The sequence below is a fragment of the Homo sapiens genome, chromosome 11, assembly GCF_000001405.40.
Source record: "Homo sapiens chromosome 11, GRCh38.p14 Primary Assembly".
In the NCBI taxonomy this organism is placed as follows: Eukaryota; Metazoa; Chordata; class Mammalia; order Primates; family Hominidae; genus Homo; species Homo sapiens.
In genome coordinates this window covers 62,941,315-62,957,098 of record NC_000011.10, presented here as the reverse complement: position 1 = coordinate 62,957,098, position 15,784 = coordinate 62,941,315, and the positions used below count along the sequence as shown (strand labels likewise).

At 42.7% G+C, this 15,784-nt stretch overlaps 1 long non-coding RNA gene across 1 annotated transcript in view; it reads right to left on the bottom strand.

The window, feature by feature from the left end:
• Positions 1-770: 770 nt before the first annotated feature.
• Positions 771-15,784, bottom strand: part of LOC105369333 (uncharacterized) — a 36,169-nt gene continuing 21,155 nt past the window's right edge. The window contains exon 5 of the long non-coding RNA XR_002957251.2: positions 771-802. This is a non-coding gene — a long non-coding RNA (uncharacterized LOC105369333). The remainder of the gene's footprint in view (positions 803-15,784) is intronic.

Below are 15,784 nucleotides of genomic sequence, written 5' to 3'. Positions count from 1 at the left end.
GCCTCTTCCTTGGGCCAATAATGTCAAAGCCTATGGCTGCATCAGGAGAACATCTCATTAGGAGGATGGTTAGCTTGCATGCATAACCTAAGGTGAAGCTGGATTGTTAAGCAAATGAAATGGCTCATAAGCCAACAGGGGTTACTTAAGAACAAGACATTCAGGCTGGGCACAGTGGCTCACACCTATAATCCTAGCACTTTGGGAGGCCAAGGCGGGTGAACTGCCTGGGCTCAGGAGTTCGAGACCAGCCTGGGCAACATGGTGAAACCCTGTCTCTACTAAAATACAAAAAATTAGCCTGGTGTGGCGGTGTGTGCCTGTAATCCCAGCTACTCGGGAGGCTGAGGCAGGAGAATCACTTGAACCTGGGAGGCAGAGGTTGCAGTGAGCCAAGATCGCACCATTGCACTCCAGCCTGGGCAACTATAGCAAGACTCCATCTCAACCAAAAAAAAAAGACATTTTATCATTTCATTGCAATGAAGACACCCCTGCCCCAAGGCAATGTGGCTATAACTGGTAAGCACAATACAGGTAGGTCACCAGAGAAAGACAAGCCCCAGGATGCCCCTCAGGAGGAACTCCTGAAGAACCCAGTCTCCCAAAGGGATACTTCAGCACTCTGAATGCAAAGCAAAAAATTAATAAATATACATGCAGGTCATGGGTTTTAATAAAAAGGCTAGCCAGGTGTAATGGCTTACTTACATAATCCCAGCACTCCGGGAGGTTGAGGTGGGAGGATCGCTTGAGCCCAGGAGTTTGAGACCAGCCTGAGCAACATAGTGAGACTCTATCTCTATTAAAAAAAAAAAAATTAATTAGCTGAGAGTGGTGGTTCATGCCTGTAGTCCTAGTTACTAGAGAGGCTGAAGTAGGAGGATTGCTTGAACCCAGAAGTTCAGGGCTGCAGTGAGCTTGTTACTACAGCAACGTCAGTTCTTGCCTCCTCAGAAGAATTCGACTGAGGGACACAAGGCAGAAGAGACCGAGGCAAGTTTTAGAGCAGGAGTGAAAGTTTTTTTTAAAGCCTTAGAGTAGGAATGAAAAGAAAATAAAACACACTTGGAAGAGGACCAAGCAGACACCTTGGAGGTCAAGTGTCCCCTTTGACATGGGACTTGGGGTCTTATATGCTGGCCTACTTCTGGCGTCTTGCATCCCTTTTCCAGTGGAATGCCCCCAGAAGTTTATATACCAGTTAAACTCCGCCATTTTGCCTCTTAATGCGCACGCTTGAACTCACTCGCCCAACTCCTGAGATCTTGTTGAGAAGCTGCCAATCACCAGTTACAGGTGTTTTTAATCTTTTGTGAAACTGCCTTTCCCTGGCGATAACTGCAACCAATTATTACTTTAGAGAGGCAGTGTGACAACTGCCTGATCATCACCTGATGGTCGCCTGACATTGCTGGTAGGGTGGGGGGACCCCTCTCCTGCCCCACTCATGCCTGGCTAGCTACCTACAGTAACAAGCTATGATCGTGCCACTGCATTCCAACCTGGGTGACAGAGATATCCTATCTCAAAACAACAACAGCAGCAACAACAAAACCCTGCCTGACCCCTCCTGTTATTTTATTTTGAATTAAATACCCTGGGTGATATGGTTTGGCTGTGTCCCCACTTAAATCTCACCTTGAATTGTAATAATCCCCATGTGGCAAGGGCAGGGCCAGGTGGAGATAATTGAATCATGGGGCAGTTCCCCCCCCATACTTTTTCTTATGGTAGTGAATAAGTCTCACGAGATCTGATGGTTTTATAAATGGGAGTTCCCCTGCACAAGCTAATTAAATTTTTTTTAAATAGAGATAGGGTCTCACTATGTTGCCCAGGCTGCCTGCTACCACGTAAGATATGGCTTTGCTCCTTCTTCACCTTCCACCATGATTGTGAGGCCTCCCCAGCCATGTGAAGCTGTGAGTCCATTAAACCTCTTTTTCTTTATAAATTACCCAGTCTCAAGTATGTCTTTATTAGCAGTGTGAGAACAGACTAATACACTGGGCAATAACTAGCGACATCTATCTGAACCTATATTCATTAGGACTCTTGTTTGCAAGTGGCTGTAATTCAATTCTAGCTAACTTGAGCATAAAGGGGTTGTGTAAAGGCTCCCATTACCAAAGCAAAGATGGATGATAGAGGTGAAGCTGGCTCTAGGGACACTGGGAACCAGGGTCATGTCATCAGAATTCTTGTGTGCTCTCATCTTTGCTTGTCTTTCCATGCTGGGCATGTCTGTTGTGCACGGGATCCTTCACACAGTGGCCACTTACCATTCTGGGCTCACCCCTAGTAACCTCGAAACCAGAGAGAGAAAATAAACGTTTCTATCTCCCACCTCCAACTTTGAAATATCTCCCACCTCCAACTTTGAAACACTGATTGGCTGGCCTGAGTCATGTGCCTACACATTAGTCCAATGACTGTAGGGCAGGGGGCGTGAGTTATTATGAATGACCCAGCCTAAGTCTCCTGTTCACTCCCGCATTGCAGATGGATAACAAGCACCATTTCACCTCTCTGCTTCCTGGTTCCACTGTCATTTGTTTTCTCTTTTCCTCCTTTTCTTTCCTCTGAGGCCAGTCTCATAGCATCTGTCACTGATCACCGCCTTTATCAAGTTAGCAGTGCAGGGCTGCCCTGGGCAGTAATTCTCAGTCTCCCTCAAATCCACCACTGTCTCTTCTTAGGTTTTGGTTCCTGTTAGCGATAAAGTAATTCTCTATACTTGAGGCCCAGGAATACACAGAAATATGAGATCCTCAGGGGTTTCAGGTGTACATGAAGAGAACTCAAATGGTGAAAACCATAATAACCCGAAGGTGGTACAAGCCCCCATGCAACTATTGCTTTTGCAGATGAGAAGCACCTTAGAGCAAACCAGAGGTTGAGAGATTCTTGCTAAGTAATTTTTATGCATCAGTCAATTGTTAATCTGGACTACATGTAGAATTTCATTGTTAAACTGCATATAGATTTTTCTTTGCACTCCTCTGACTTCTTGCCTCTTTCCTACATTCTCTTGCTTCTTATCTTCTCATTCCTCAGTTCCTGTCCAGGCTGTCCTCATCCCACTCACCATGACGTGTCCCACAGGCATCTCCACAGCCATACTCCATTCATGTATTTCTATTAAAGTGCTGTCAAATCAACTCCCAGTTTTCTTTGATATTACCCCAGAATCTCTTTCAAATAAAAGTTATGTGGCCGGGCACGGTGGCTCACCCCTATAATCCCAACACTTTGGGAGGCCGAAGTGGCTGGATCACCTGAGGTCAGGAGTTTGAGATCAGCCTGGCCAACATGGCAAAACTCCGTCTCTACTAAAAGTACAAAAATTAGCCAGGCATGGTGGCAAGCACCTGTAATCCCAGCTACTTGGGAGGCTGAGGCAGGAGAATCACTTGAACCAAGGAGATAGAGGTTGCAGTGAGCCAAGACCACGCCATTGCACTCCAGCCTGGGCAACAAGAGTGAAACTCCATCTCAAAATAGCAGTTATGAGAATAAAGTAGGGAAAAAGGCCATTCCTGTTTGGAGAAGGTGTTCAAATGCCAGTATCTCAAATTTTACATCATGTGATATTTGCATCCACAAGATACTAAAAATACCACAGTAATAATTACATTCACAAATAAGGATTTCTTGCCGACAAAATCAACATTATCAAGTAACTATGCTTGAAGGATGAATTCATTTGGATATATATTAACACATTTTAGAGCCATGCCCTAATCATTCTGGTCATTCCAGTCCCTTTTCCTTTTTTCTGTTAACAAAAGAAATGACAGTTTAAAAATCCATTCAAAAATCCATATATTTAATACAAAAATGAGTTCTTAATTTTAAAGAAAATGCCACAACTATTTGTCATTTTAACTTAATTTTAATGGTACCTCCTTCAGCACTATGGATTTTCTACAGGGTATGGAGCTGTTTTACTCCAGTTACAAAGGAAGTACTTTCAAATCAAGAATTTTTTCTTATCTTAATTTAAAAGAACAACAAAATTATTCATCAATAAAAAGAAATGGGGGCCGGGTGTGGTGGCTCACACCTGTAATCCCAGCACTTTGGGAGGCCTAGGTGGGCAGATCACCTGAGGTCGGGAGTTCAAGACCAGCCTGACCAACTTGGAGAAACCCTGTCTCTACTAAAAGTACAAAATTAGCCAGGTGTAGTGGTGCATGCCTGTAATCCCAGCTACTCAGGAAGCTGAGGCAGGAGAATCGCTTGAACCCGGGAGGTGAAGGTTGCGGTGTGTCAAGATCACACCATTTTACTCCAGCCTGGGCAACAAAAGCAAAACTCCGTCTAAAAAAAAAAAAAAAAAAAGAAAAGAAAAGAAAAAAAAAAGAAATGAGCTATCAAGCCATGAAAAATCTTGAGGGAAACTTAAATGTACATCACCAAGTGAAAAAAGCCAATCTGAAAAGGCTATAGCCTGCATGGGTCCAAGTATATGACATTTTGCTTTTTTGTTGTTTTCAGGGGGGCAGGAGTTGTTTGTTTTGAGACAGGGTCTCACTCTCTCCCCTAGGCTGGCATGCAGTAGGACGATAATAGCTCACCGTAACCTCAAACTCCCAGGCTCAAATGATCCTCCTGCCTCAGCTTCCCAAGTAGCTAGCACTACAAGCATGCACCACCACACCTGGCTAATTTTTTTTTCACTTTTTGTAGAGATGCGATCTCACTATGCTGCCCAGGCTGGTCTCAAACTCTTGGAGTCAAGCCATCCTCCCACCTCAGCCTCCCAAAGTGCTAGGATTACAAATGTGAGCCCCTACACCAGGCCCAACTGAAAAAGGCAAAACTATGGAGACAGTAAAAGGGTCAGTGATCACCAGAGTTCAGAGGGGACAAAGAGACAAATAGAACACAGAGGATTTTGTAGGGCAGTGAAACTACTGTATGATACTGTGATGGTGGATACATGTCATTATTCATTTGTCAAAACATGTAGAATGGGCGGGGTGCAGTGGCTCACGCCTGTAATCCCAGCGCTTTGGAAGGCCAAAGCGGGTGGATCACAAGGTCAGGAGTTCGAGACCAGCCTGGTCAACAAGGTGAAATCCCATCTCTACTAAAAATACAAAAATTAGCCGGGAGTGGTGGCACGCACCTGTAGTCCCAGCTGCCCGGGAGGCTGAAGCAGGAGAATTGCTTGAGATATATATATATATATACATATATATATATATATATATATATATATATATATACACACACATATATATATATATATACACATATATATATATATATACACACATATATATATATGTATATATATACACATATATATATACATACATATATACACACATATATATATACATACATATATACACACATATATATACATACATATATACACACATATATATATACATACATATATATATACACACATACATACATATATATATATACATACATACATATATGTATGTATGTGTGTGTGTGTATATATATATATATATATATATATATATATATATATATAATGTACAACACCAGGAGTGAACCCTAATGTAAACTCTGGACTTAGAGTTCAATGTATTCATCAGTTGTAACAAATACCACTCTGGTAGGGGTGTTGATAATGGAGGAGTGTGTGTATGTAGGGACAGGGAATATATTAGAAATCTCTGTAACTTCCACCCAATTTTGCTGTGAACCTGAAACTGCTCTAAAAAATAAAATCTACTTTAAGAAAGAACAACAGACTGGGTGCGGTGGCTCACGCCTGTAATCCCAGCACTTTGGGAGGCTGAGATGGGTGGATCACTTGACATCAGGACTTCAAGACCAGCCTAGCCAACATGGTGAAACCCCGTCTCTACTAAAAATACAAATATTCGCCAGGCATGGTGGCGTGCACCTGTAGTCCCAGCTACTCAGGAGGCTGAGGCAGGAGAATCGCTTGAACCCGGGAGGCGGAGGTTGCAGTGAGCTGAGATCATGCCACGGCACTCCAATCTGGGCAACAGAGCAAGCTGTCTCAAAAAAAAAAAAAAAAAAGAACAAGAAAATTTACGTTATTGGTTTAGTGCCAATTGTTGTTTATTCAGGGTTACAGATAACCATAACTCTCAAATATGCTTATGCAAAAATGAAAAGTTAATGGAAGGATGCAAGAGTATTTCACAGAACACGGGGTCAGGAATTTGAGCCCAGCCTTGTGAAGGACTAAGACCACTCAACTTGACTCTCCATCTACCCTCTGGCACTGACTGAATCCTGGTCCTGACTTCTCTCTAACTGGATTACTTCATTTTACCCTCCCCTCTCACCATGACCTCCTCTTCCTCCTCCTCCCTCTCTCCTGTTTTCTCAACTCTACTTTCACATTGGCCCAAACTTTGGGTCCCACTCCAACGTTGGGTGTCCTTACAAATCCCACTTCTCTGAGCCATATTTCCTTTTTTTTTTTTTTTTTGACACGGAGTCTTGCTTTGTCTCCCAGGTTAGAGTGCAGTGGCACGATCTTGGCTCACTGCAACCTCCACCTCCTGGGTTCAAGCGATTCTCCTGTCTCAGCCTCCCAAGTAGCTGGGATTACAGGTGCCCACCACCATGTCTGGCTAATTTTTGTATTTTTAGTAGAGACGGTGTTTCATCATGTTGGCCAGGCTGGTCTCAAACTCCTGATCTTAGATGATCCGCCTGCCTTGACCTCCCAAAGTGCTGGGATTACAGGAGTGAGCCACCGCGCCTGGCCCATATTTCCAAATTCATAATATAGACTCTCGTTAGCTCAGTCTAGCCCTGGGGTCAGGTGTCCTCAGTTGTGTTGGGAAGAGACAGGCTCAGGAGGTAAAATAAGACTTCAGGAGGCCCGAGGAGGATGAGGGGTTAGTGCTCAGAATAGGAGAATACACTGAGCAGGCAGCCCAAAAGCCATCTTTTCCATACTGTAAAATAACTTGGCCAGGCTCAGTGGCTCATGCCTATAATCCTAACACTTTGGGAGGCCAAGGTGGGTGGATCACTTAAATAATCCAGTTGTAAGTGAGCTGTGGTCCCAGCTACTCAGGAGGTTGAAGTGGAGGATCACTTGAGCCTGGGAGGCAGAGGTTACGGTGAGCTGAGATCGCACCACTGCACTCTAGCCTGGGCAACAGAGTCAGACCCTGGAAAAAAAAAAGAAAAGAAAAGAAGAAAGAAAGGAAAGAAAAGAAAAGAAAGAAAATAGTAACTTGAATAATTCTCACCAGGAAATAATGAGAAAGATTGTGAAGCAGGGGAGGAAGCCGCTCCTTATGTGCTAATCCCAATGTAAGATCCTCCTCCCCACCAGGAGAGACAGATTATTTTCCCCAGGCCTTGTGTGGGTGCCCATCATGCCTGGCCAAGCCTGCCTGAGGTCTCCCAAGAAGACAGTGGCAATCCTTGGATTAGAACCCAGGACTCCTGGCCAGGTGTGGTGGCTCATGCCTGTAATCCCAGCAATTTGGGAGGCTGAGGCAGATGGATCACTTGAGCTCAGGAGTTCCAGACCAGCCTGGCCAACATGACAAAACCCTGTCTCTACTAAAAACACACACACAAAAAATTAGCTGGATGTCGTGGCTCGCACCTGTAGTCCCAGCTACTTGGGAGGCTGAGGTGGGAGGATGGCTTAAGCCTGGGAGTCAGAGGTTGCAGTGAGCCAAGATCACGGCACTGCACTCCAGCCTGAGCAACAGAGGAAGACCCTGTCAAAAAAAAAAAAAAAAAAAGGAACCCAGGACTCCCAATTCCCACCCCAGAATTTTTTCCATCCCTCCAAGGTGCTTTCCTGCTCATCTGTGCCCTCCTCAAGCAGCCACACTCTGCCAACCCAGGCTGAAGTCATGCCTGCCCTGCTGCCATCCCCATCCACAGGTTTGTCATCCAATCTGCCCGCTAGCACTCCCTCGGTGGAAGGCTGGACCTCCCCCTGACGGCCCCACAGACAGTGGCCCAGATCAGTAAAAAGCAGGAAGTAGACACCAAGCTGAGTATGGAGGTGAGAACCCCGAGACCTGTGTGACACCCCTCCAGGGCTCTGCCTGCCCCCACCTTCACCCTAGAATCCAGCACATCATGCTTCCCAGGGCAGGGACTGAGGTAAAGGGCCCCTGGGGAAACCCAGGCCCTGAGCTCCATCTACCCAGGCAGGTGCTCCAAGCCAATCTGCAGAAGGCCATGACCACAGGCCAAGCCCATCACTCAGTGCTGCAGTTGTACGCTACCCTGCTGTTTGCTGCCTCTTCCTCTTCCTCTGTGTTTTGGGTTACATTTAGAAAGGCCTTCCTCTCCCCGTAAGTATAAAACTATTCGCCTAGATTTTCTTCAAGCACAAATGTATTTGTTTGAGCTTTCATGTTGTATCATAGTTTCATCTGAAATTTAGTTTAACATAGGGTAGGAAGTAGAATTCTATTTTTTTCTATTAGAAATTCTATTAGAATTATAGTAGAATTCTATTTTTTCTCCAGCCTGGGCAAAAAGAGTGAAACTCCATATCAAAAAAAAAAATGGATTAGTGGTTGCTTGGGATTGGGTAGGGGATAGAGATGAATGTTTGGGGATTGAAAGCTAAAGGATACCGATTTTCTGTTTGAGGGGATGAAAGTGTTCTAAAATTACCATGGTGATGGTTGTACATATCTATGAGTATACCAAATATCATTCGATTGTATACTCGAAATGGATGGCTTGTATGGTATGTGAATTACATATAAATAAGGCTGTTACAAAATAAAGTGTTCACTGTTATTTGAAATTCAAAAATATTAAATTCATCAGCATAGACTTGTTCATAGATTTTTTCTGCATCTTTTTAATGACTCTGCGTCTTTAGTTCTGTTTCTTTTTTATTCATAATATTTGCTTATGTCCTCTATCCTTCATTTTTTGATTATTGTTACCGAAGATTTGTCCATTTCATTGATATTATTAAAGACTAACTTTTTGTTTTGTTGAGCTTCTATATTGTATCTTAGTTTTCCATTTAATTTATTTATGGTATTATCGTTATTGTTGATATTGTTGTTGTTGTTTTACAACTAAGGTAAATTGTCCCAAATGAACTTAATGAATAGTCCCACCTTTCCTGGCTGGTGTGAAACACCACGCTTATCACATACTATTTCTGGACTATTTCATCCCATTGATTTGTCTGTCTATTCTGGTGCCAATAGTGTTCTGTTTAATTCTTAATTATAGTGTGGCGCATAAATGATTGTCTTCTTGTGGACAGCTTCTCACTGTGCCCTTCACCAGGGCTGAGGCAGGACACAGAACACATCACATCTCAGAGCAAAGCTTCCCCACAAAGTGTCACTAAACATTGTCGATTTTTCCAAGACTCCATGGGGAGATAAAGGAGATGCTTATATCACATACCACACAGCATAAAAAACTTAATAGGCATTTCTGTCCTCCTTCAAATCCTTCCTTGGCTAACAGCTGTACATGCTTCCTCCCTCTCCTGACTCTTCTCCCATTTAATCTCTGAGGTCTCCTCCACTGTCCTAAAAATTCATGTCTAGCTGTAAACTTGTATTCGTCACTCAGCAAAGCAAAACTCCTGCCGTTAAATAAATCTTTACTTCTTAGAATTTATCAGTTCATCAGATCAGTTGTTACTTGAGCTATCCAGTGGGGAGGGACAGACACACGCACACACACACATACACACACAAAACTTCCCAGTACAATCAACTTATAAATGCAAGCATCCACCAAAAGCTGATCTCTTAGGTCGGGGAATTAGGAGGGGAAAAGGGAGACCTATTGCTAAGCAAAAAATATTATTTTTTCCCAGATAATTTTTTTGGGGGGACAGTCTCCCTCTGTTACCCAGGCTGGAGTACAATCAAGCAATTTCAGCTCACTGTGGCTTCTGCCTCCTGGACTCAAGTAATTCTCGTGTCTCACCCTCCTGAATGGCTGGGATTACAGGCATGTTCCACCATGCCCAGCTAATTTTCCCTTTTGTAGTTTTAGTAGAGACAGGGTTTTGCCATGTTGGCCAGGCTGGTCTTGAACTCCTGGCCTCAAGCAGTCCACCTGCCTCAGCCTCCCAAAGTGCTGGGAGTACAGGCATTAGCCACCACACCTGCCCTTTCCCAGATAATTTTTAAATGTTACCTAATTTCTGGCCAGGTGCCGTGGCTCGTGCCTCTAATTCCAGCATTTTGGGAGGCCAAGAAAGGCAGATCACTTGAGCTCAGGAGTTTGAGACCAGCGTGGCCAGCATGGTGAAACCCTGTCTCTACTAAAAATACAAAAATCAGCCAGGCACAGTGGCACACACCTGTAATTCTAGCTACTCAGAAGGCTGAGGCAAGAGAATCACTTGAACCCGGGAGGCGGAGGTTGCAGTGAGCCGAGATCGTGCCACTGCACTCCAGCCTGGGTAACAGAGTGAGACGGTCTCAATAAAGAAACAAATGAATAGAATTAAGGGAAGATTTTCTTATCTGCAATTGAAAGATTAAAAACTCCACTCACACACAGCACAGGGCTAATGTAAGGTCTAAAGGAGAGAAGAGATGTGAGAGTAGTTTGCCAGCTGCAATTGCTATGTAGATGTGTCATGGCTCCTACCCAGAGTACATCCTCTCTGCTCCTGCCCCAGGTCTGTAATAGTCTTCAGCTCCTGCCCCAGGTCTGTAATCGTCTTCAGCTCCTACAGTTCAGTCATAAGTCTGCAAAGTTTGGAAATCAATATCTACCTGATCCAAGTATTCTTTGCAACTGTGAATCCACTATTTTATTTGCTGGGCTTTTTGGTCACCAGATTTCTGGGCCGCAGGCCTACCCAAATGGCCTCCTTGCTGCTTTCAGAGATCTATATTCTGGCTTGTGCAATGGTGCTCCTGAGTAAGCATCTGCCGCACCTCTGCTCCTGTCCTAATTCTTTCCCAGACCCAGACCCAAATCTGCCCCAGGCCAGCTACCTAGAAGGGTGGAAAAGACCCAAGATTCCTTCAAACTTTTCCTAGCACCTTGCCATCATCTTTGTTCCCTTCCATATCAGTTATTCCTCTGCATTACAACGGTCATGTTAAGAAAAGACTATGCTACTGGATCTACGAACTGCATCTTCATCTATGCAAGAGAACTATGCCTATAATAATATAGTGAGTGAGGTTTTGGGGAGGGATCCTGGGATAGGACAATCAGGCCCTAGAGCAGATTTCAAGTTGGAAAGGGCACAAAGGTCAATCAACTATTTTTTAAGGCAAGAAAAGAGGACAAAAACATGAAAATCAAGGTAAATAAAAGACAAAAGGTAAGATGGTATCAATAACTCCAAACATCTCAGTCACCGCAATAAATGTAAATGAATTAAATTTACCAATTCAACGGCAAAGATACTCCAGGTAACATTTTTTTTAAATCTAGTTCATGCGGCCGGGCGCAGTGGCTCATGCCTGTAATCCCAACACTTTGGGAGGCCAAGGCGGGCGGATCACGAGATCAGGAGATCAAGACCATCCTGGCTAACACAGTGAAACCCCGTCTCTACTAAAAACATACAAAAAAAAATTAGCCGGGCATGATGGCAGGCTCCTGTAGTCCCAGCTACTCGGGAGGCTGAGGCAGGAGAATGGTGTGAACCCGGGAGGCGGAGCTTGCAGTGAGCGGAGATCGTGCCACTGCACTCCAGCCCAGGCAACACAGCGAGACTCCGTCTCAAAAAAAAAAAAAAAAAAAATCTAGTTCATGCTATTTACAAGAAACTCATCTAAAGTTTTGTATATATAAATGTTAAATGTAGAGAGATGGAAAAAGATATAGCAGACAAATATTAACCAGAAGAAAGCTGATTAGCCACACTAATAGTAGTCCAAATAAACTTTAAGACCAAAAAAAAGATGCAATGGTTAAGAATCTGGCTCTGGAGCCAAAGTTTTTGGTCCAAATGCTCAGTTACCTTAGTTGTAAAACAACAACATCAACAATAACAATAATACCATAAATAAATTAAATAGAAAACTAAGATATAATATAGAAGCTCAACAAAACAAAAAGTTGGTCTTTAATAATATCAATGAAATGGACAAATCTTGGGTAACAATAATCAAAAAATGAAGGATAGAGGACATAAGCAAATATTATGAATAAAAAAACAGAACTAAAGACTTAGAGTCATTAAAAAGATGCAAAAAATCTATGAACAAGTCTATGCTGATGAATTTAATATTTTTGAATTTCAAATAACAGTGAATAATTTATTTCATAACAGCTTTATTTATGTGTAATTCACATACCATACAAGTTATCCATTTCGAGTATACAATTGAATGGTATTTAGTATGCTCATAGATATGTACAACTGTCACCACAGTAAATTTTAGAACACTTTCATCCCCTCAAACAGAAAATCTGTATCCTTTAGTTTTCAATCCCCAAACATTCATCTCTATCCCCTACCCAATCCTAAGCAACCAGTAATCCTTTTTTTTTTTTTTTTTTTTTTTTTTTTGATATGGAGTTTCACTCTTTTCGCCCAGGCTGGAGTGCAATGGCATGATCTGAGCTCACTGCAACCTCCGCCTCCTGGGTTCAAGCGATTCCCCTGCCTCAGCCTCCCAAGTAGCTGGGATACAGGCACCTGCCACCATGCCTGGCTAATTTTGTATTTTTAGTAGAGACGGGGTTTCACCATGTTGGCCAGGCTGGTCTCGAACTCCTGACCTCAGGTGATCCATCCACCTCAGCCTCCCAAAGTGCTGGGATTACAGGCATGAGCCACCGTGCCTGGCCCCACTAACCCATTTTCTATCTCTATAGATTTGTCTTTTTTGGACATTTCATATAAATGGAATCATATACTATGTAGTCTTTTATGACTGGCCTCTTTTAGCATAATGTTTCAAAGTTCATTCATGTTGTAGCATGTATCAGTACTTCATTCAATTTTATAACTGAGTAATATTCCATTATGTGGAAATACCAATTTTGTTCATCCATTTATCAGTTGATAAACATCTGAGCTGTTTATACCTTTTAGCTATTATAAATAATGCTGCTATGAACATTTCTGTACACGTTTTTGCATAGGCATATGTTTTCATTTCTCTTAGGTATAGATTGAAGTGAAATTACTGAGTCCATTGGGTAACAGTATCTTTAACTTTTTGAGAAACTGCCAGACTGTTTTCCAAAGTGGCTACCCACAATCAGCATGTATGAGGGTTCTATATCCTGACCAACACTCATTACTATCTGATGTTTTTATTATAGCCATTCCTAGTGGGTGTGAGGTAGTATTTTTTTCTTCTAATTTTTATTTCAGGTTTGGGGGTTCATGTGCAGGTTTGCTATATAGGTAAATTGCATGGCACTGGGGTTTGGTGTACAAATGATTTTGTCACCCGGATAGTGAGCACAGTACCTGATAGGGTCGAATTTTTTTTTTTTCTTTTTTGAGATGGAGTCTTGCTCTGTTGCCCAGTCTGGAGTGCAGTGGCACGATCTCAGCTCACTGTAACCTCTGCCTCCTGGGTTCAAGCAATTCTCCTACCTCAGCCTCCTGAGTAGCTGGGATTACAGGTGCACACCACCACACCCAGCTAATTTTTGTATTTTTAGTAGAGACGGGGTTTTGCCATGTTTGCCAGGCTTGTCTTAAACTCCTGACCTCAGGTGATCTGCGCACCTCAGCCTTCCAAAGTGCTGGGATTACAGGCGTGAGCCACCACACCCGGCCTATAAATTCAATGCAATTCTGATCAAAATCCCATTGGCCATACTCAAGAAACTGGCTAAGCAAATTCTAAAATTTACATAAAAGTGCTAAGGGCCAAGTGGAACTAAGATGCTCTTTTTAGAAAGAACAAGGAAGAAAAAATTGCCCTACCAGAAGTTAGTACATATTATAAACTCTTACTTTATCACTGTAGTGATTAAGACAGTAGATGATGGTGCAGGAAAAACAAAATAGGCCAGTGGAGAAGATCAAACCCAAAAACAGACCCACACATAGAAGAAACTTGAGGCCAGGCGCTGTGGCTCACGCCTGTAATCCCAGCACTTTGGGAGGCCAAGGTGGGTGGATCACAAGGTCAGGAGTTCGAGAACAGCCTGGCCAACATAGTGAAAACCCGTCTCTACTAAAAATACAAAAAAAAAAAAATTAGCTGGGCGTGGTGGTGGGCGCTTGTAATCGCAGCTACTCGGGAGGCTGAGGCAGGAGAATTGCTTGAACCTGGCAGGTGGAGGTGGCAGTGAGCTGAGATCAGATCAGCACTCCAGCCTGGGTGACAGAGCAGGACTCCATCTCAGAAAAAGATTAAAAAAAAAAAAAAAGGAACTTGGGAAGTGACAGAGGAGGCACTGCAGATCACTAGCTAAAACACGGGCTATTCAATAAGTAGTACCAGGATGTGTATTTACCCACATAGGAAAGAAATAAAATGCAATCCATATTCCAACCTTAAACACAAATGAATTCCTGCTGAAGGGAGGAGAATTTAAGACATAAAAAGTGGTAGCAAAAAAAAAAATTGATAAATTTTTCTACTTTAAAGTGTTTTAATTTGGGTCATCTGTTTTACTATATATAAGGTGAAAAGAGTAAAAGACAGAATTTCCAAGGATTTGTATTCAGAATTTATAAAGAATTTCTGGAAATTGATTAGAAAAAGGATTTCTATTTCCATTAAAATAACAAAATTACACCGAAAATCATCCCAAAAAAAGGTATATTTTTAAATAACCTTAAAAGCACCAAGGAGCTAGAAAGATAGTAAGGAAAAGATAACCTTAAAAGCACCAAAAAGCAGCCGGGCGTGGTGGCTCATGCCTGTAATCCCAGCACTTTGGGAGGCCGAGGTGGGCAGATCACAAGGTCAGGAGCTCGAGACCAGCCTGGCCAACATGGTGAAACCCCGTCTCTACTAAAAATACAAAAATTAGCTGGGTGTGGTGGCATGCGCCTGTAATCCCAGCTACTCAAGGCAGGAGAATCGCTTCAACCCGAGAAGTGGAGGTTGCAATGAGCCGAGATTGCACCACTATACTCCAGCCTGGGTGACAGAGCAAGACTCCATCTCAAAAAAAAAAAAAAAAAAAAAAAAAAAAAGCACCAAAGAGCTAGAAAGATAGTAAGGAAAATGGGGCCGGGTGTGGCAGGTCACACCTGTAATGCCTTTGGGAGGCAGAGGTGGGCAAACTGCTTGAGCCCAGGAGTTCAAGACCAACATGGCGAAAACCCATCTCTACAAAAAATACAGAAATTAGCTAGGTGTGATGGCATGTGGCTGTAGTCCCAGCTACTCAGGAAGTTGAGGAGCGAAGGATCACTTGACCCCAGAAGGTTGAGGCTGCAGTGAACCAAGATCATGCCACTGTACTCCAGCTGGAGCAACAGAGTGAAACTTTGTCTCAGAAAAAAAAAAAAAGAAAGAAGATAGTAAGGAAAATCTAGGCCAATCATCTAAGGAAAAGTGCAAACCCAGAGAGGTAAGCAGAGCATCTGAACACAAAACCAAACACTATATATAATGAGAAAATGTATATGCATTCTCTTCAGCATCAGAATCAACTATTTAACACAGTATTCGGGGGCCTGACCAATACCACTCTAGTAGGAAAGAAAAAGATATAAGAAAATTAAAAATTAAAAAAGAAAAGTTAAAAATCTCATTACTTAGAATATGTTCTAAAAATCTCATTACTTGGAATATGTTCATCTACCTAGATAAATGAACAAAATCAACAAACAATTAAAACTAATAAGAGAGTTCTGCAAGGATGCTAGATACAAAATCAAATTACCAAAATA